The sequence below is a fragment of the Homo sapiens genome, chromosome 20 (genome assembly GCF_000001405.40).
Source record: "Homo sapiens chromosome 20, GRCh38.p14 Primary Assembly".
In the NCBI taxonomy this organism is placed as follows: Eukaryota; Metazoa; Chordata; class Mammalia; order Primates; family Hominidae; genus Homo; species Homo sapiens.
Genome location: NC_000020.11, coordinates 25209431 through 25229272, shown reverse-complemented (window position 1 = coordinate 25229272; position 19842 = coordinate 25209431). Strand labels below are relative to the sequence as shown.

Genomic DNA, 19842 nt, shown 5'->3' with positions numbered 1-19842 from the left:
TCTGTCACCCAGGCTGGAGTGCAGTGGTGCGATCTCTGCTCACTGCAACCTTCACCTCCCGGGTTCAAGTGATTCTCCTGCCTCAGCCTCTGGAGTAGCTGGGACTACAGGCATGCACCACCAGGCCCAGCTAATTTTTTGTATTTTTAGTAGAGACGAGGTTTCACCATGTTGGTAGGGCTGGTCTCGAACTCCTGACCTCGTGATCCACCCGCCTCAGCCTCCCAAAGTGCTGGGATTACAGGCATGAGCCACCACACCCGGCCATCATCCTTGATTTTATCCAAAAATGGTATTACCCTAGTCTGAATATCACATTTACCTTTTTTTTTTTTAATGAGATGGAGTCTCACTGTTGCCCAGGCTGGAGTGCAGTGGCGCGATCTCGGCTCACTGCAACCTCTGCCTCCTGGGTTCAAGCAACTCTCGTACCTCAGCCTCCCTAGTAGCTGGGATTATAGAAGCCTACCACTATGCCCGGCTTTTTTTTTCTTTCTTTTTTTGGTATGTTTATTAGAGACGGGGTTTCGCCATGTTGGCCAGGGTGGTCTCGTACTCCTGACCTCAAGTGATCCACTTGCCTCGGTCTCCAAAGTGTTGGGATTACAGGCGTGAGCCACCATGCCTGGCCACATTTGCCTTCTGATGACTCTGAAATGGTTCTAAAAATAAAATTCACCCTGCAACAATGATTTGTTGTGCCTGAACGTATTTAAAAATGTTAAGGTAGGGCATGGTGGCTCATACCTGTAATCCTAGCACTTTGGGAGGCCCAGATGGGCAGATCACCTGGTCAGGAGTTCAAAACCAGCCTGGCCAAGATGGCAAAACCCCATCTCTACTAAAGATACAAAAATCAGCCGGGCACAGTAGCGGGTGCCTGTAATCCCAGCTACTCAGGAGGATGATGCAGGACAACTGCTTGAACCTGGGAGGTGGAGGCTGCAGTGAGCCCAGATTGCACCACTGCACTCCAGCCTGGGTGACAAAGGGAGATTCTATCTCAAAAATAAATAAATAAAGTAATTAATTAATTAAAAAACAAGGCCAGGCACGTTTAGTTTCTTAACAAAAGTTAAGAAACTAAAATATAAAAATACCTTTTGGTTAACTTTTAAAACTATCTCTGTGGAGAAGCCTTCCTAATTATGACATGAAACCTAGAAGTCACAAAAAGATAAATTTTTGGACACGTTCTATCATAATGGGATAATTTCCTTAATAAATAAAGATCTACAATTAACAAAAAAATGATGACAATCTTATAGAAAATCGGCAAGGGATATGAACAGATGTTTCACGGAAATACAACTTAGATATACCCGATGAATTAGATCCATGCATATTAAAACTACCAGTTATCATTTTTTTAAATCTGCCAGAATGGCAAAGATTAAACTGGCTGTAGCTGTTAGGACATGGGGGAGGCCAGCACCGATGCTTGTCCAGTAGGATTGAAGGCAACGTGGCAACGTCTGCTTATGCCCTGAAACTCACTGCCCTGGGATCCTGCCATCCAAACACGGGGACTGCAGGACTGAGGCAGCTCAGTGGGCAGCAATGGGTGCTAAGTGATGTGGGGTACGCGGGCTGGGGTGGCATGTGGGGCGTGTGAGACCTGTCTGAGCTTGTCAATGCACACATCCTGAGGGAACAGAATTTTCAAGCAACCCTAGTTTGCTTCTTTTACGATGTGCACGTGTAGCTATTTTTGACAAATGAGAGCCTACTTCATTATCACAAAAGACACTCAGAGAGAAATGACTTGCATACTTTGCCGGGCCCAGAAATATTCCATGACTTATTTGGTGCACTTTTGGAAAACTTCCAGTTGTTTGCCTTTTTCAGGCATGAGGTCACCGACCTTCTTTAAATGGACCAAATTGATTTTGGCTTTACCTTCATGCGTCTGATTCTCAGCCTCCGGAGTTCTTTAAATATTTAAGCTGGTGGATATTATGGAAGTAAAGGCGCTGGTGGGGACCCAGCCCAGGCGGGAGGGAGGAAACTGTTCCTCTTTTTGTCTTTTGTCCTTTCCTGCTCTGTGCAGGCCTCCACCACGTGGCTCCATCAGCATTCGCTGCAGCCCTGGGAGGCCCTAGGGCCAGATCCTGTCCTCCTGTGACAGTTGGTTGGGGGGGGCTTCAGGCACAAGCACTCGGGATGTGGGCTGGTCTGCAGTTTCCCTGGCATGCGACACCTTTGGGACGCTTCCAGACCAAAACCAGATCCTTGCTGAACAGAATGACATGGGGACTTGCAGCTCACTCGAGGTTATGTGCCCAGGCCTCACCTGGCCGTGCTGTGGGCTGCTGGCCTGGCACAGGAGGAGCTGTGCTCAACAGACGCTGGGAGGGCCGGGGCCACCAGCCAGACCCTTCACCAGCCCCAGCCCCCAGGGGCCCTCCACTGCTGTGTCCTCGAGAGGGATGTCGACAGGACTGGAAATACGCCACCCCCTTTGGCAGCTTTTCTAAGGTTTAGTAAACAGGGATCTCAGGTGCCAGGTGGGCAAATGCTACTGTCGCTCAACGAGAGGAATCCCAGAGAAGGAGAAGCCCCTGTCAACCTTTTATTGGGAGTGGAACACATGAGGTTCAGCTCGTGCCGGGCACTGTACATTCACTGAAGCAGCTCAAGGGGCTCAGCCCCGACACTGACGCCACACTGAGCAGGATGCACGGCCCGGGGCTCACACTGTCCATGGAGGAGGTGGGGTCAGCCCGAGGTGGGCGGATGGTGGCCCGAGACACCGAGAGCTTGGTTCTGGGACTGTGGCTCAGCTGACCCGTGGCACAGCTGCACCTAAGACATGGCCCTGGCTAGGCGGGAACAGCTCACAGTAGCGATACATTCACAGGACACAGTTGGTGTCCAGAAAAGGGGGCTCAGAACACAGTTTCTACACAAGCACTTGGCACCCACACGACAGAGACGTCACTCAAGCAGCACAGCCACAAATAGTTTACAGCAGCTCATGCCCGGCATCCGCCCATGCTGGGAGACTCCCTGAAAGGTGGGCACCTGCCGTCTATGAGGAGGTGTCTCCCTCCATCATTAACCCCAAACCACACAATGTGTGAGGAGAGCAGGCCTCTGGGTGAACTCACACATTCATACCCAAGGAAGAGGCAAACACACTCAAGTCCAGAGTTCCCAGTGGTGCCGCCCAGACCTACTGTCCCGGGGGTGTTATGGCTGTCCCTCGGCTTCCCCAGAGCAGCCAGGACAGCCTGCACCGCCTCCCAGACTCTTGCAGGAAGGGGAGCTCTGCCCTGGGGAGGAAACTGACAGGCTGGGAGACAAGACTCCCATCGCAGGGACATGCACAGCAGCAGCCACAGCCCCGCGGACGGGGCATGGGGATGGGACAGGCAGGGAGCCACACTGCCCCCTCAGTGTGTGCCTGTGGTTCTGTCCTGGTCCTGCCCACTTGGAGCCCAGGCAGACAGGTGGCATTGAGCAGGGCCCAGGTCCAGACAGCCCTCTGGCCAGATGTGACTGGAAGAGGCTGATGCCAGGGCAGCACCAGGCCTTCTGCAAGTCCCAGAGCCAGTGTGCAGAAAGTGCCAGCACGGCCTGTGCTGTGGCTCCTCAGGATGAAGTCACGTCCAGGACAGGAGGGTTTATGCAGACACACAGACACTGCTGACGGGGACAGGGATGGCTCGGCCACTATGAGGCTGGACTCTTCTGTCTGTTCAGGGAGTCGATGTAATGAAAAATGGCCCCCAGAGCCCAGCTGGTCTCAACATTGTCAATTTTCCGAGTGAGCTTGAAAAGACAGAGAGGGAGAGGGGACCATCACACAGACAGGAAAGCCTTGTGCATCAGGAGGCTGTGGCTCCTTGGAAGCCAGGGATGGGCTGGGGGACATGACCCCAGCAACTGGAGAAGTGGTTCTAGGCCCCTCACTCCATAAAGGGGCTGGGGCGTGACCTGAGGGCACCCTTACCTTCAGCACTTTGCTCCTGGGAAAGCCGAACTCCTGGAGTAGCAGGCTGACGTAGGTGAGGTCCATGCATGAGAAGGGGCTGCTCTGCGGCTGTGTCTCCAGGGTCCGACACACTGGGGATGAGACACGTCCCTTCACGCTCCAGGTGACTCCCACCTGGGGGCGGAGGGGCAAGTGCAGACCCCAATTCCACCCACTACAGGCACCCGCTGGCTCCGCACTCCGGATTCACAGACAAGGCCGCAGCTGAGCGCAGAAGGCACCCAGTGCACAGCACAGGCAGGTGGGCGGCAACCCCGGCTGCCACTGGGTCTGGGCTCCAAGGGGATTTGCACGCCTGGTGTTAGGGTCATGGGCCAATGTCTCCCAAGCCACATTTCTACATCTAAGACCCTGGACACCTCTCCCAGGTGTCAAGCTGCATAAAACCTAAGCTTTCTGGGGAAAGAAAACACCAAAGCCAGCTCAGAACAATCCACTCCTGCTCTTGAGGAAGGACAAATCCACCAAGAGCTGTCCTGGGATTCTGCTCAAAGCCTTTTCCTGCTGTAGTTGTGGATACCCAGTGTCCATGGGCACAAATGGGAAAATGACACAAAAGCTTTAAAAAAGCCACTTTTGGGGGAGGGGAAGGGTAGTACTTTTTCTGGAAAGATGTACAAATTTGAGCTCTTTGGACCCACACATTGGGAAGGGCAACCAAGAGCAGGACATGTTCACCAAGGCTTGGCTGCTGGGCCAGGCGTGAAGGAGACAGTGGAGAGGCATAGTGTGTGGCACAGGGTCTGCTGGGCTGGTCACCTGCGACCCCGGGGACAGCCCTCCACCCCACATCCCAGGCTCCATTCTGTAGGGCCTTGGCTTCTTAAGGGTTGTGTGACAATCATGAACTTACTGGGACATCCCAGGGGAAATCACTCTTGGGGTTACCCTAGTAGCAGTAAAATGGCATCTGAGGAAGTGGAATCGAGGGACCCAGTTCCTCACGACCCCATGAGGGTGGGACAAGGACGGTGGTCCTTTCTCAGCTGGGGCCGAGGCCCCTGCCTGTGGCCATTGTTTAGGAGGGGCTACACCCAGGAGAGTCAGGGCCAGCGCCTGCGTCACGAGCATCACGGGGCGCCTGCCCCTGCTGAGATGGCCCCTGCAGCATCACTCACCGTACTTGGCTGCGATCTCGAAGTCCCCCACCACCAGGCTGCCTCCCTTCTCCGCATCTGTGGGAGACACAACACCCAGTCTGCAGGAGCACTGTGAGGTTGGCGATGCCACTGAGACGTGAGGCTGGCACGGGGAACGCCAGCCCAAGAGCCCCAAGGCACTGACTGGCTTCTGAGGCAGGCCCTCCAGCTGTAGGCGGCACTCACGTGCTCTGAGGACGGCTTCTGGGTGATGTGGTGTGGGGTGGGTTTGGGGGCTGAGAGGGTCACCCCACAACCCAACCCTGCAGTGTCCCCCGAGAAAGCTCACCAGGAACCCAGGACCCCAAATTGAGTAAAATTTTAAGTTAAGAAAAATAAAAGTAGAGAAATTGAAATGTTTCCTGAAGCCATAGAACTGAGCTCAGCAACAGTATTCTGGTATCAGTTTCCTAAATGTAAAAAAAAAAAAAAAAAAGTTCTTGAAAAATACACTGAGGGGTGGTTTATTGGTGGCCTTCCACCTTGACCACCCACCTTCCACCCAGGCCCAGTCAGTGGTAGCTTTGTCAGCACAGAGACCCGCCGGAGGCTGCAGGGCCCAGAGAGCCGGCACCGTGTCAGCTTATTTAAAACAGTAGTGTTCTTATCCGTACCACAGGCCATACATTCTGATGATCTCACCATGATAGTGACTCTGCAACCCCCTCCAGAGTTCCCACACAGCCTGACCACCACTAGCCTCAGCAAACTCTGAATACCTTTTTCCGCCCTAATCTGGCTTCCTGGGCTGTGCAGGGTGAGTCAGAGAGACTCCACATTCAGTGAGCTGATCCCTCCCATGGGTACAGGGCAGCCACCTGCAGGTCACAGGAGGCCTCCTGTAGCCAGGGCTGCAGGGTAGGGCAGAGTGGCTGAGTCTGAGACAACGTGGGCCAGTGCAAGGCAGGACCTGCCTTCCAGCAGGAACTGGAATCAACAGCAAGTCACCAGCCACGAGGTTTTACTGAAGGGCTCAAAGAACTGATCTTTTCCTACTCAGGATGAGACGCCTTCTCAAATCTGCTTCTGGCCTCCTGCAGGGATGTGACAACAGGGTTGCTTGCCTGCCACCAGCCCTCTGCCTCGGGGAGCACACGCCCTCCACCCCCGCCCCCTGCCGCCCCGACCTTCCTGCTCAGCCCATCCGGGCCCCCTTACCTATGAGGCCCACACCAGCTGCAAGGTCGTAATAGTAGGAGAAAGCATAGAAGTCCACATGCTTCACTTCCTCCGTCCTGTGCACTCTGTTTTGAAGGACCTCTGACACTCTGGCAGCACACAGCTCGTGCAGGCTTGCCGCTGGGGACAAGCACAAGGCTAGCGGTCAGTGGGCTCCGAGCACCCAGGCCTCACAGCTGCTTGGGGCCCCTCCCAGGGGACTTGAGACTCTGACCTGAATTGTCAGGAAAAGGCAGGTCCAGAAGCCTGTAAGACCCCACCCCAAGTTGGGGCTGCTCCCCGCACAGGTCAAAAGCAGCCCTCAGGAGCCAGGGCATTGTTGGTCCCGGCGCAGGGAGTGAAGACCGTGGGCACGAAGGCAGCGGCAGACCTGGACTCTGAGGAGGAAGCTGCTGATGCCTGACACCAGTGGCCTCTGGCCTGTTGGGACCATCTGCCCTACATTCCCCCTCCGCCAGCCCGGAGTCCCACCTCCTCAGGGGGCCTGCACCCTCCCTATGTCATAGATAAGGAAGTGGAGGCCCAGCTCACTTGCCAAGCTCCCATGGCTTGAGGGAGAACAGGAACAGAGGACCCCGGAGGCCAATGGACCGTGTGGACATCTGAGGGCGCCTCTACACCCCACACCTTGACCCAGCTTCCCGGCTTTCCCAGTCCTCCTCCACCAGGCCCCATCCTTCCGAGTGCTTCCAGGGTTCCCACGGTCCACAGACCCATGCTCCAACCCTTCGATCTCATTTCCTCCTGGTGTCCCCCACCAAGCCACACCACCTCCTCCTCGTTCATTAAACACAGCAGCTGACAGAGGGCCCCGGTGTGTGCTGCTTGTGCGGCCTGGGGTGCTGCTGCTTCAGATCTGCGCAGTTTCTTGAAACCTCCTCCTGTCTTAGATCCCATGTTACCCCACGAGGCCGTCCTTGGCTGTCCTAGTTACAGCTGCGATCGCCCTCTCAGATCCCCGCCCCGTGTTATTTCTCTTGGAAGGCTTTCCCGATGAGCTTCACTGTCTGGCTCCTCCTGTGGGACACAGCTGTGCAGTCCTGCTGTGCCTGATGCGGCCCCCCGGTACACGCACCAGTGGGTGATTGACTTGGAAGGACCTGAACGGTTCGCGAAGGCATGCACCCCTCATGCCGAGTGCCCAGTCTGGGAATGGCGTTTGAACATTTCTCTCAGAAGAAACTGCAAGGGTGCAGAGCACTAGAGCCTGCCCAGGGCCAGCGGGCTCCATAGCCTCGAGCAGGATGGGTGGAAGCAGACCCTCCCTCTATTCCCGCCCAGCACAGCACAGAGTGCCTGGGCTCCCAGTCCCAGCCCTGCATCTCAGCCCCAAGCTGGTCCAGTCCTTCCTCCCTGCAGGCCTGTTAGGAAATCAGCCCTCAGGAGGAAGCTTCTGGTGACAGTCAGGGGAATGTTGAACAGAGGCAGAGGGAAGGAGCTGGCTCTCAGCACAGACACAGGCCCCTGCAGCCAAACCACCTTCACTTCCAGGGCAGGTACAGGCTCTTCAAAGAGAGGTCAGGAGCCTCCCGTGGAACGTCCCATGGGATGTGGGAAAGGCAAGGGGGAGAGGAGGCCACCACTCTCACCCGCAGAAACCAACAGGCAGCAACCCTCCCCGTACCTGCTTTCTGCCCTGAAACCCTGTACGTGACTTCTGCGTGTTCCCACTCTCCTTTGAAACTGGGAGACAAGCAAGGGCTGACCAACTCCTTTCCATCCTTAGCTGAAACAGAGATTAAAAAGGAAAGAGAAAGGAAGGTATATCACCGCCATGGACTAGGGCTGAGCTAGGAGTCGCGGAGGCCCTGGCTTGACACAGGATGGGGGAAGCTGAGTGGCTTCCAGGTCCACTGGGAAGGCAACACCTCCCTGGGAAGTGGCAGCAAAGCCTCGTTGGCCAGGAAGCACACCGCTACCAGGACCATGCCCAGCTCACGGCCCTGGGCACGCCGGGTGCCAGGCACTGGGCCAAGGGCTGTTCAGTGAAGTGTGACGACAGTCCTTTTAGGAGGGGAGCCATCATTACCCAGTTTTATAGGTGACTGAGGCTGTGAGTAGCTGGTAGGTTGGTGGCAGGGCCAGAACAAGTGCCACCAGGTGCCACCATGCCTTGAATGGAATCTGCTGCTCCAATACACACAAGCTGGGGGCTCAAAACCAGCAAAGGAAGCGTATTGGTCCCAGGGCTGGCCCCAGTATCACCTTTCGAGGATGGCAGGCTGCTGTCCCACCGAAAGGTGCTGGTCCCATCCCTGGACTCTGGCCTGGACCTGCTTTCCTTGATGGAATGGGCAGGAAATGGTGGCATCAGGGTAGCCTTCCTTTTTTGAAGCCACCACAAAAGTGTCCCAGGCTGCTCTGCTGGGGCGAGGCCATGTGGAAGAGCGCCCAGGTCTAGACAGCCGCCCAGCGACAGGCACGTGCACAGACCCTCAGGACCCCAGCGGGGGATTTAGACAGCTGCCACAGCCACAGGCATGTGCACAGACCCCCAGGACCCCAGCAGGGAGTCTAGACAGCTGCCCCAGCCATATGCACCTGCACAGACCCCCAGAACCCCAGCAGGGGGCGTCTAGACAGCTGCCACAGCCACATGCACCTGCACAGAACCCCAGGACCCCAGCGGGAGGGTCTAGACAGCTGCCACAGCCACATGCAGCTGCACAGATCCCCAGGACCCCAGCGGAGGTGCTGCCCAGATGAGCCTGTGTGGTCTGCTGTGAGATTCCAGCCGCGACTGCTGTTTGCTGTTCTTTCACTCTACTTGGGGGGTCTGTTACGCAATAACCGGTAACAAAACAGAGACTCATTCTCCTGGGTCCTCACAGCCCCCAAATGTCTAAAACAGGCACTTTGTACAGCCTGACGAGGAGACCATGAGACCTTCTTGCTGCTCTGCTGGGTGTGAGAGGACTCAGGGTCTGAGCCACGACTCCCTGGGAACCACAAAGGGCAAAGAGGTACCTGCCTTTTCTCATTGGCTAAATAATAGGTGTTTTTTGGCCCCAGAATAAGGGCTGCAGCTGTTTCTGAGACATAGACATGGTTTTTGTTTGCAACAAAAGGAATACCATTATGAAGATAAACACCAGGATTTGAAAGAAAGAACTGAAGTAGGGCATGCACAGGAGAATGAAAATTCCAGTTGAACATCCTACCCTGTCAGATACCAGGCCCTCGGAAGAAGTGGGCAGGGGTGCTGGGCCAATGGGGCGCTGGGGGCTGAGGTAAGGGCATTTGGCTGGAGCACACGTAGGTGCTGGTGAGCGCCTCATACACACATCAGACACTAAGGCCTTGGGAAGGCCTCTGTGGCCTGGCCAGTTCCATCAGGGAAGAGAGGCACCACCAGCCTCAGGGCCGTGCCCCAGCCCCTGAAGCAGACCATGGCAATCCTGAGATCTCCTAAGAGTCCATGCCCGCTGTGATGCCCATTATAAGGAGCAGAGGCCCTGGCCCTGATGCAGGCTGTGTCCCCAGGTCAACTCCATGTCTCAGGAAGGGCCAAGCCCACATTTCATGACCCTTCGCAGAGCAAGGGAGGAGGGATGTTCTTGCAAGGCTGGAATCATGAGCGAGAGAGAAAACCTTTCCCTGACGGCAAGAACCCAGCACCCCCCACAGCCCTCCTGTGCTGTCTGTACAAGGTTCTGTCTTCACATCCCTAAAGCCAGCTCCCAATGTAGGGGATGAGTGTGCAGTTCCCTGGTTCCCTCAGTTTCAGCTCAGTGCTTCAGAAGGGATTTCATCAGCATCTTTTAAAAAATAACTTGGGGCTGGGTGTCATGGCTCATGCCTGTAATCCCAGCACTTTGGAAGGCCAAGGCAGGCAATCATTTGAAGGTAGGATTTCGAGACCATACTGGCCAACATGGTGAAACCCCGTCTCTACTAAAAACACAAAAATTAGCTGGGCGTGGTGGTACACATCTGTAGTCCCAGCTACTGGGGAGGCGGAGGTATGAAAATTGCTGGAACCCGGCAGGCAGAGGCTGCAGTGAGCTGGGATCATGCTAGTGCACTCCAGCCTGGGTGACAGAGCAAGTGAGACACTGTCTCAAAATAAAGAAAGAAATACCTTGGAAGGTGGACAGGTACAACACCACCCTGGGTTCCTGCCCCATCAGGGTGCCACCAACAAGATCTGCAGCACACCCCTCCACTCGCATGCCCTGGCCTGGCTGGGTGCCCAGCATGCAGCGGGACAGCAGTGGGGTGGGAGGGGCAGAGGGACCTCTCCTGCAGGGCCAAGCTGGTGCCCTCCCGAGGGGCTCCTCGTTCCCACTGAGAATGGAGGGCAGAGGCTGTGAAAGTGGGCCCGGGGCAACATGTCCACTCACCAGGCTGCCCCTCCACGCCGCCCAGGATCGCCAGGCGTGCCGACATCAGCCCGAGCCCGAGGTAGCTGTGGGAATGACACCTCAGTGAGGGCAGCTGCCATGGCAGGTACAGGTCATGGCAGGCTCACCTCTGAGACCCAGCCCGAGTGGGGAAGGGGGAGCTTGCAGCAAGGCAGTTAGTGAGCTTCTCTGCTCCTTCTAAAAGCCTGTTTCTGTAGAGTTGAGGAAACTTAGCTAATTAATTCAACACACGAGGGCCTATCATATGGCAGGAGCTCATCCAGGAGCTGCAGACACTGTGGTGAGTGGGACCGACTCGACACCAGTCTGGGATGCTCCTGCTTTATAACAAGAATCGACTGAAGACTGCACGTGGCAATAGGTGGCCCGGAACACTCCTGTGTGGCCCATGGTCCCTCCCACTTCTCAAACCTTCTCCAAAGTAGAGCAGAATAAGCACACATGGAGGAATGTGCACAAGGAGGAATGTGCGTATACTGTAGACACATTAAAGGATGAAGGAGAAGGACAGAGGAGGCGGGAGGAGGAGGAGGAGAGAGAGGTCTGGGTGAATGTGCGTATACTGTAGACACATTAAAGGATGAAGGAGGAGGACAGAGGAGGTGGGAGGAGGAGGAGGAGAGAGAGGTCTGGGTTAATGTGTGTATACTGTAGACACATTAAAGGATGAAGGAGGAGGACAGAGGAGGCGGGAGGAGGAGGAGGAGAGAGAGGTCTGGGTTAATGTGCGTATACTATAGATAAAGGATGAAGGAGAAGGACCAGAGGAGGTGGGAGGAGGAGGAGGAGAGAGAGGTCTGGGTGAATGTGCGTATACTGTAGACACATTAAAGGATGAAGGAGGAGGGCAGAGGAGGCGGGAGAAGGAGGAGGAGGAGAGAGAGGTCTGGGTGGATTCCCAGCACAGGGATTCCCAGATCTGCCATCCATGACCTCAAGAGGGCCATGCGAGGCCCTGGGAGCTGCATACCCACCCCATGGCGCCTCCCCACGCCTGTTCCCGAAAGCAGACCTGTAGGAATAGAGCTTGTAGGTCCTGTTAAACATCCGCAGTGCCGTCAGGTAGCCGGGTGGGGAGGCCTGCAGGGTGCCCTGGAGAAGAACGAGGGTAACTATGTTTCCTGCTGGTCTTTCTAGAAAATTCTCCTCCACCCACTGAATTCATTTGAAAGAAAGGGGATGGTCAGGTGCAGCCAATTAAATGAGCTGTTCACTAGGTCGCTGGCTGCGAGACAGGAGCAGGCAATAAGGAGCCAATATCCCAGTGAAGAACGGTGCTTCGTTCCCACAGGCAACCTCTCCCATGCTGACAAACACGGCCCAGACATGACGACGATCATATCAGTACCTATGAGCCCACCCTTCCATGGAAAACTACCCATAACAGGAGGATGAGTGGGTGAGGAGGGAACTGTTTTTAAAGCAGCAGGTGCCTCAATGGGAAGTGTTTTCATCTCCTTTAGGATATTTATCTTGAAAAGGCTGGAAGCTTCCTCCCAACCTATGAACTGGACAAAATCTTTCTGCTCTTGTTCCTTTCGGAACCCTGAAGGGGAGAGAGGCAGCACTTCATATCCTCTGGCCCAAACGTTTCCAGTTATTCCCTAATTTATCACCCCTCTAAAGACCAAATTTCTGTTTTTGGCTTTTTTCCTGGTGGAATTAAAACTCCAAGCCAGAAGCATCATCTGTGAGTGAGTCCAGCTCTCAGAAGAGGAAATGACCGCAGGGGTCCAGAGACCTGGCCAACCCCACCCCCCACCCCACCCCGCAGCACCTCAGCAGGCCCCACCCTGCACCCCCATGGCGGTGTGGCCTCGGGGTGGAAAGAGCGCTGTGGTCGGCAGGGCTTGTTACCTCCACGCGTGGCAGGAAGGCGATCTGAGTGGATCCTCCGCCCAAGTCCAGCATGCCCACGCTGCTCCCTCCTGGAGTTTTCAAGCTGCCTGGAGCACAGCAAGCAAAAACAGCACAGGGGCATTAGTAAGATCGCGAGAACAGCAGAAAAGCCAGGGTGAAAGCCAGGCCCTCAGGGGAAAGAAAAGACAGAGAAGTAGCTCAGCTATTGACAAATCTCCATTTAAGGGTACACTATATATCTAAGGGACAAGAGTAATGGCTCCACCAGCTGTGGTTTAATTTGGATCCTGATGGGACAGCATGAACCTTCAGGGGAGATACTGAAACTGCCGTATCAGCTGGGAGGGAGGCCGCTGGCTTAGCTCCCAGGAAGAGCTGGGCCCTGCTCTGATCAGCCCATCTCCACTCCCCAGAGCATCTCAGGCGGAGGCTCCCAACCCATCTCCTAACATTTCTATCCCCCAAAGTGGCAAATGGGCAAACCTGACAGGAAACTTCTTTCCTTTTTTGTCTGTACATCAGAAACACTGCTCTTTCCCATAATTCCAGCAAAGGGACAAAAAATCCACATGCACTAAGAAAAATGACTCCTTGTCACTTGTTTCTAAAAACAGATGTTTCTGTTCCCTGTTCCACCTACAGCAGAGGAATCCAATTAGAAGGTGAATAGCATTCACATCACATTCAATATTGGAAGATATGACTGGTTTGATTCGTTACTTCTCTTAGAAATGAGAGGATGGGGGTCCTGGTGGATGTTCTGCAGGGGACAGGGCAGGGGCTGTGCTGGGAGAAAAATGCCCCAGACCTGCAGAGAAGCACCCCACTCCTAGCATCTACACCTGTGAGACAGGTGGGTGACCCCACCCATCCCCAACACCCTATGGTCAGTCAGCAACACTGCCAAACCCTGAGGGGTTATCTTAAAGAGCAGAAATGAGGCTCCTGCTCTCGAAAGGCCCAGTCGAGCCCTCCGCAGGTGTCTGTGATCGGCTAGCCTCTGTGATGCAGTGTGCACACACCTGTCAGGAAGTTGATGGTGATCCACGCCGAAACGCCTGCAAGAGAGTGTCACAGGCATTATTTTAATCACTTGAGATGCTGAAAGCATAACACACAGGACCGTTAAATGACTATTTGCAGATCTGGGGAGCATAAAGGGATCACTTCCGCACTACACCCAGCCTTCAGATCATCGGCAGAGAGGAGCATTTCTCATAAATGAATCCAGCAGCTATGGCCGACTGTCCTGAGACACAGCATGCTGAATCCTAAAGTACTTCACCAAATGCTGCGTCTCTCCTCTGGTTATTACTGGCCTCCTCTTTTTGGAAGAAGCAGAAAAAGAACCCAGTGCTCCCCTTCCTCCTCCATACACACTCACTCTCAAGGTCATACTGAAGACCTATCAGGAGCTAGTGAGGAACCTTAAATGTCTCTTAGAATTAACAACGCAACAACATTCTAAATGTGGTGGCAACTGGAGATTCTCTCCAAATGTTCTTAAAACTAAAAACACAATGTTTTTAGAAGCTTCATTCATGCCAGGTTTGGGGTTGGTCAAGATGATAATCTGTCTCTGACACTGACCCCAAAAAGATCCTTTTGTGACATGTCAATTGTGAATCAGAACGGGGCTGTAACAGCCATGATTCTTTACTTGAGCATCGGACGGGGGAGGAGGCTCCCACATGGGGCGGGGAGGGGTGGCGGATGGTTAGAAGCAGCAGGATTGCTCCCACCCACCTCACTGCACAGCCCCACTGTACAGAGGTGCTTCCAGCCATTTACCTTCATCTGTTCCGTTCATGATGGAAACACAGTCATCCCCTACAAGGAAAGGCGATGCTTTAAATACTTTTTTCACCTAAATGTAAAGAGAGATGTTACTTCATCCTTTAGAATGAATGAATGAATATATTTATTTATTTAGCTAGCTAGCTAGTCAAGTGAAGCAGTGTGGGTGGAGAAGAACGAAAAAATCTGTAACTGGTTGTGATCAATTAGTTGTAAATACCACTGCACTCAGACCGGCTTTCTTCATCCTTTAGAATTTATGGTTAAGGGTTTTGCATCATGCTATTGGCAGGCAGTAACGAAACCCCAGGGGCACCTGCCATGTTCTGTGAGTGTGTTCAGGCCTCTCTAATCCATTGCAAGTTAATCCACCGCCCGGGCTCGTTGAGGCCCATGCTGCCCTGGAGACCCTGTCCTAAGCCCGCTGGGGCTTAGAAGGGCTCTGGGGGCTGCATAGACTGGGGGAAGCTGGGGCACACTGGGCCTGCTGGGCTCCAAACACTGCCCTGCTTTGGGATGTGAGATAAAGGAGCCGGAAGCCCTCTAAGGCAGACGGCCACCTTCACCAGGGCCCTGGCCTCGGGGGGTATTTCCTTGCCCACCTTTCAGCAAGATCTACCCACAGAAGCTTCAGCACCTCTGCACACCCCACCTGCACGCGTGCACAATCCAACCCTGTGAGGGACCCTGACAGGCGTGCCCTGTGCCCTCCTCCTGCAGGTAAATGAGTGGAGGCAGCACGGAGGGTGAGGAGGACCCACTGCGGAATGCTGGGCAGCTGGAGACACATTGGCCCTGACGTGCTGGGACTGGGAGAGGCCACAGGGTCCCTTCGACAGTCACGTCTGAGCATCGGACCAGGAGCAGGATGAGCAGCTGCCATGGGGAACAAACGGGCTTCAGCTGCAGCACCGGGGCTCAGCACACACAAACTTCTGACCAGGATCAAGTCCCTTGAAGGCACCATGCGCTTTTATTTATTTTTTTGAGACAAGGTCTTGTTCTGCTGCCCAGGCTAGAGTTCAGTGGCATAATCACAGTTCAGTGCAGCTTTGACCTCCTGGGCTCAATCGATCCTCCCGCCTCAGCTTCCTAAGTAACTGGGATGACAGGCATGCGCCACAATGCCCAGCTAATTTTTGTGTTTTTGGTAGAGATGGGGTCTTGCTATGTTGGCCAGGCTGGCCTTGAACTCCTGGGCTCAAATGATTCGCCCGCCTTGGCCTCCCAGATTACTGGGAGTACAGGCATGAGCCACCATGCCCGGCCCACAGTACACTTCTAAAATCAAGTTGCTTTCCTTATTATAAAACACAGATTCACTCCAGAAAACATGAATAACCTTAAATGTCACAAGGAACAAAGCATCATCTGCCCACCATCCCTCCACCTAAAAGTGATGCTGCAAACTTTTCTTCAGAAGCATCTGTGTCCTGCCTGATGGTGCGGCACTGGTGAGACAGCAGTTGTTTTCAGTCATCAGTTGCCCCTGAGGGCTGGCTAATGGCACTGGGGAATGGCCAGGCTCACCTTCTGCAGTAACTTCTGGGCCTTTTCTCCAGGTAACAGGCGTAAGCCAGCTGTGGCCTTGAGGACCAGAGGGGTGGCCTTCCAGAAGTCGAACGGAATGTCCTGTTTAGCAACATCCAGTAGTTCCCGGATTCCCTGAGCGCTCTGTGAACGTGGTAAGAGCAAAGCAGGGTCTGTCAAGTGCAGCATACAGGGTCACACGTGCTGCTTCCACCCTTTTGGGTTTTTTTGGTTTCTGGAGACAGAGTCTCACTGTGTTGCCCAGGCTAGAGTGAAGTGGCTTGATCACAGCTCATTTGCAGCCTTGAATTCCTGGGCTCAAGTGATCCTCCTTCCTCAGCCTCCCAAGTAGCTGGGACAAGGGCGTGAGCCACCATGCCCGACTAATTTTTAAAAACTTCTGGCCGGGCACGGTGGCTTACGCCTGTAATCTCAGCACTTTGGGAGGCCAAGGCAGGCGGATCACAAGGTCAGGAGATCAAGACCATCTTGGCTAACAGGGTGAAACCACGTTTCTACTAAAAATACAAAAAATTAGCCGGGCGTGGTGGTGGGAGCCTATAGTCCCAGCTACTCGGGAGGCTGAGGCAGGAGAATGGCATGAACCCAGGAGGTGGAGCTTGCAGTGAGCCGAGATGGCACCACTGCACTCCAGCCTGGGTGACAGAGTGAGACTCCATCCCAAAAAAACAAATCAAAACAAAAAAAAACTTCTTATAGAGACGCTGTGTCTCTGTGTTACCCATGTTGGTCTTGAACTCCTGGCCTCAAGCCATTTCCTGCCTCAGCCTCCCAAAGTGCTATGATTAGAGGTGTCAGCCACCATCCCTGGCCTTTGCTTCTATAAATATTTTTTTTCTGATTTTCAAAATCTGCAGGAAACAGTGATGCAAGTGGTACTGGCAGGTGTGTGGGAACACAGGGACCAGGTGAAACATGGCAGGGGGAGGACAGGTCAGGAGAATAAGCCTGCTGTTCTACTGCAGCCTGGTGACCCAAGCCCACATCCAGACCTGTGCCAATCCTCACGGGCGATCTCAGGTGCGCCTCAGCTCCGCTGGACATTGCAAAGGTGTGGCACTAGGCAATTCTGGGGTCCCTCCTGGCACTAAACCCCATGATAACTACAACGAGGAGCCACTTCACCTGCCAGAGTGCTGGATCCAGAACCCAAGGCTGGATAAGGTCCTATGTCAGTGTGTGCATGAAAGTGAAGGTCTGGGAATGTGGCTGGTTGTTGTAGACAGGTGTGATTCTGTGGGGACACGTGGGTTGCATCTGTCCAAGGGAAAAACACGTTCCTCCTATCCAGAAATTCCACTCCAGTAATTCATCTTGGGAGGCCGAGGTGGCAGGATTACTTGAGCCCAGGAGGTCAAGACCACCCTGGGCAACACAGCAAGATGTCCATCTCTACAAAACATTTAAACATTAGCTGGGCATTGCGGTGTGCATCTATGGTCCCGGTTACTTGGGAGGCTGAGGTGGCAGGATCATTTGAGCCTGGGAGGCAGAGGTTGCAGTGAGCTGTGATTGTGCCACTGCACTCCAGCCTGGGTGATAGAGAGAGACCTCATCTCGGGGAAAAAAAATAGAGACTTCATCTGAGCGATGCCCCTTGCATGTGTGGGTAATGAAGTATGTGTCAGGTGCAGCCTTTTTCTACTGTCAAGAGAGAAAGATTGGACATTATCTAAATGTCCTTCAGAAGAGGACTGGTTCCATGAGGTAAGTGTGCAGCATCCATGCAATAACATTCAGCCAAAAAAACTAAGGAGGCTCTGCACATGCCGACATAAACGCTCTCTAATTATCCTGCTCAGCAGCAAAGCCAAAGGCCTCGGTGTGGACACCACCGTGGGTGTGAAGTAAAAATGGGGAGAAGAATACAGATGACTCTGTTTACATACACATCAACCAGCCTCAAAGGATGCTAAGAGAGCCAGGACGTGGGCCTCCGAGGCAGCCTGGAGTAGGAGGGACATCTGTGCTACTACCCTGGGGAGCGTGGACATTTGTCCCACTTGAATGTGTGTCACCTACTCAAACAAGTAAGGCCTTAAAAATCCTAGGAGCTTATTCTAAATTTATCTAATTTAATCAGGTTTAACTGTAAGGTCACTCTAGAATCACTAATTTCAATTTCTTTTTTAACTAAGCTACAGGAAAGCAAGGCTTGAACTACATTGTCTGAGACCATGACACGTTTGTGGACAAGAGCAATGTACTAGCTCATGACTTAAGAAATGCTTGAACCAAATGGAAGTTACAACTCTCTCCATAGCCCATTTTGTGAGTGCCTTGGTAGAAAACCAGGCATCCTGTATTAGTGCAGCTGTAAGCTTTAAGGACTTTAGATAGAAGTAGCAATGCTACAAACTTACATAAATCATTATTTGACAATTTTAATTAAATTTCGATTTATTTGGTTTTGTGGATTTTGCATAATACATTTCTTTTGGATGGGGTCAGAGTCTCACTCTGTCCCCCAGGCTGGAGTACAGTGGCGCAATCTCAGCTTACTGCAACCTCTGCTTCCCATGTTCAAGTGATTCTCCTGCCTCAGCCTCCTGAGTAGCTGGAATTTCAGGCGTGCGCCACCATGCCTGGCTAATTTTTGTATTTTTAGTAGAGACAAGGTTTCACCATGTTGACCAGCTTGGTCTCGAACTCCTGACCTCAGGTGATCCACCCGCGTCAGCCTCCCAAAGTGCTGGGATTACAGGCGTGAGCCACTGTGCCTGGCCTGTAATACGTTTTTAACTTTTTTCTTTAAATATAAGGTCTCACTCTGTCACCTGTGGCACAATCATGGCTCACTGTAGCCTTGACCTCCCAGGCCCAAGTGATCCTCCCACCTCAGTCTCCCAAGTAGCTGGGATGACAGGTGTGTACCACCATGCCTAGCTAATTTTTAAATTTTGTAGAAATAGGGTTCTCACTCTGTTGCCCAGGCTGGTCTTCAACTCCTGGGCTCAAGAGATCCTCTTGCCCCAGCCTCCCAAAGTGCTGGGATTGCAAGTGTGAGCCACCATGCCTGGCCAACACTAATTTTTTTTTTTCAGTCAATGTTTGCTATCTTCGATCAGAAACCACAACAAAAAATTAAAAATGTATTATGCAAAATTCACAAGACTAAATTAGCGTAAAAATTTGAATAAGCAAACTATCAAATAATGATTTTTGTAAGTTTGCAGGATTTGTGCTTCTGACCTGTACCAAGACCTCGGGACCCCCACGTTGGAGAAGTGAGCGCTGGCACGGTGGAGTCAGAGGATGGGGCCGGGTGGGGGCGCGTTCTCCTCTGGGCTCGCGCGCTGCACACCTTCTCTCTTCTGACCATCCCAAATGGCATGAAATGCCCAGGCAGCACTGTCAAAGCCCCCTTCCTTTGTGAAGACAGCCTACCACATTCAAAGGAAAAGAACTGGCTTGAACACATTCTGCAGTTGAACAGGGAGACACGGGAGAGGATCCTTACCTTTTCAACATCATCAGCATAGGCAGAAAGACCTGGCTTCAGTGCTTTGAAGGTTTCGTGGGTTAACGTGGGAGTTTCTAAGGGGAAAACATGTTGAAAAGGGTACAACTATGAATACACACAGGAGAACACATACAATCATGACTAGCCACACTTTTTAAAGACAGACACTAACACAGACCAATCCCCAAGTGGCAGGGGCCCTTCAGCTATTCCTTGTCTAAATTCTGACTCTTTGTTCATCAGAACAAGATGAGTATAATACCTAATGTCTTGGCCAGAACATTACTTCTTAATTAATTATTTTTTTAAAATTATTATTTATTATAATTATTTTTTAAAGATTATATTTATTATAATTATTTTTTTTTAAAGAGAAGGGCTCTTGCTATGTTGCCCAGGCTGGTCTTGAACTTTTGGGCTCAAGCAATCCTCCCATCTCAGCCTCCTGAGTAGCTGGGACTACAGGTGCAAGCTATGTGCCCTGCATTTTAC

General features: G+C 52.9%; 1 protein-coding gene across 36 annotated transcripts in view, besides 5 other annotated features; it reads right to left on the bottom strand.

The window, feature by feature from the left end:
- Nucleotides 1–1197: 1197 nt before the first annotated feature.
- ENTPD6 (ectonucleoside triphosphate diphosphohydrolase 6) overlaps nucleotides 1198–19842 on the bottom strand; it is a 32364-nt gene continuing 13719 nt past the window's right edge. For 11 of the 36 annotated variants that reach the window (XM_047440594.1, NM_001247.5, NM_001317941.3 and 8 more), the window contains 12 exons: nucleotides 19348–19424; nucleotides 15867–16010; nucleotides 14331–14406; nucleotides 13562–13597; nucleotides 12537–12625; nucleotides 11692–11771; nucleotides 10659–10723; nucleotides 7940–8041; nucleotides 6295–6435; nucleotides 5116–5172; nucleotides 3956–4068; nucleotides 1198–3774 (listed from right to left, as the gene is read on the bottom strand). In XM_047440594.1, coding sequence (XP_047296550.1) covers nucleotides 3676–3774; nucleotides 3956–4068; nucleotides 5116–5172; nucleotides 6295–6435; nucleotides 7940–8041; nucleotides 10659–10723; nucleotides 11692–11771; nucleotides 12537–12625; nucleotides 13562–13597; nucleotides 14331–14406; nucleotides 15867–16010; nucleotides 19348–19424 — 1079 coding nt within the window. In that variant the 3' untranslated portion in view covers nucleotides 1198–3675. The other 25 variants (XM_047440595.1, NM_001322397.2, NM_001322396.2 and 22 more) reach the window with 8 other exon arrangements.
- Nucleotides 5189–5370: a silencer, noted in NCBI's record as "fragment chr20:25204539-25204720 (GRCh37/hg19 assembly coordinates)". NCBI's record gives its function as "represses an EF-1alpha promoter that drives an FKBP-Casp9 reporter gene in an ReSE screen in HepG2 liver carcinoma cells {active_cell/tissue: HepG2}" and the evidence as "EXISTENCE:reporter gene assay evidence [ECO:0000049][PMID:32094911]".
- Nucleotides 5421–6182: an enhancer, noted in NCBI's record as "H3K27ac-H3K4me1 hESC enhancer chr20:25203727-25204488 (GRCh37/hg19 assembly coordinates)". NCBI's record gives its function as "activates a minimal SCP1, AML or CMV promoter by ChIP-STARR-seq in naive H9 embryonic stem cells {active_cell/tissue: H9 hESC(naive)}" and the evidence as "EXISTENCE:reporter gene assay evidence [ECO:0000049][PMID:30033119]".
- Nucleotides 6183–6942: an enhancer, noted in NCBI's record as "H3K27ac-H3K4me1 hESC enhancer chr20:25202967-25203726 (GRCh37/hg19 assembly coordinates)". NCBI's record gives its function as "activates a minimal SCP1, AML or CMV promoter by ChIP-STARR-seq in primed H9 embryonic stem cells {active_cell/tissue: H9 hESC(primed)}" and the evidence as "EXISTENCE:reporter gene assay evidence [ECO:0000049][PMID:30033119]".
- Nucleotides 6943–7704: an enhancer, noted in NCBI's record as "H3K27ac-H3K4me1 hESC enhancer chr20:25202205-25202966 (GRCh37/hg19 assembly coordinates)". NCBI's record gives its function as "activates a minimal SCP1, AML or CMV promoter by ChIP-STARR-seq in primed H9 embryonic stem cells {active_cell/tissue: H9 hESC(primed)}" and the evidence as "EXISTENCE:reporter gene assay evidence [ECO:0000049][PMID:30033119]".
- Nucleotides 14983–15484: an enhancer, noted in NCBI's record as "H3K4me1 hESC enhancer chr20:25194425-25194926 (GRCh37/hg19 assembly coordinates)". NCBI's record gives its function as "activates a minimal SCP1, AML or CMV promoter by ChIP-STARR-seq in primed H9 embryonic stem cells {active_cell/tissue: H9 hESC(primed)}" and the evidence as "EXISTENCE:reporter gene assay evidence [ECO:0000049][PMID:30033119]".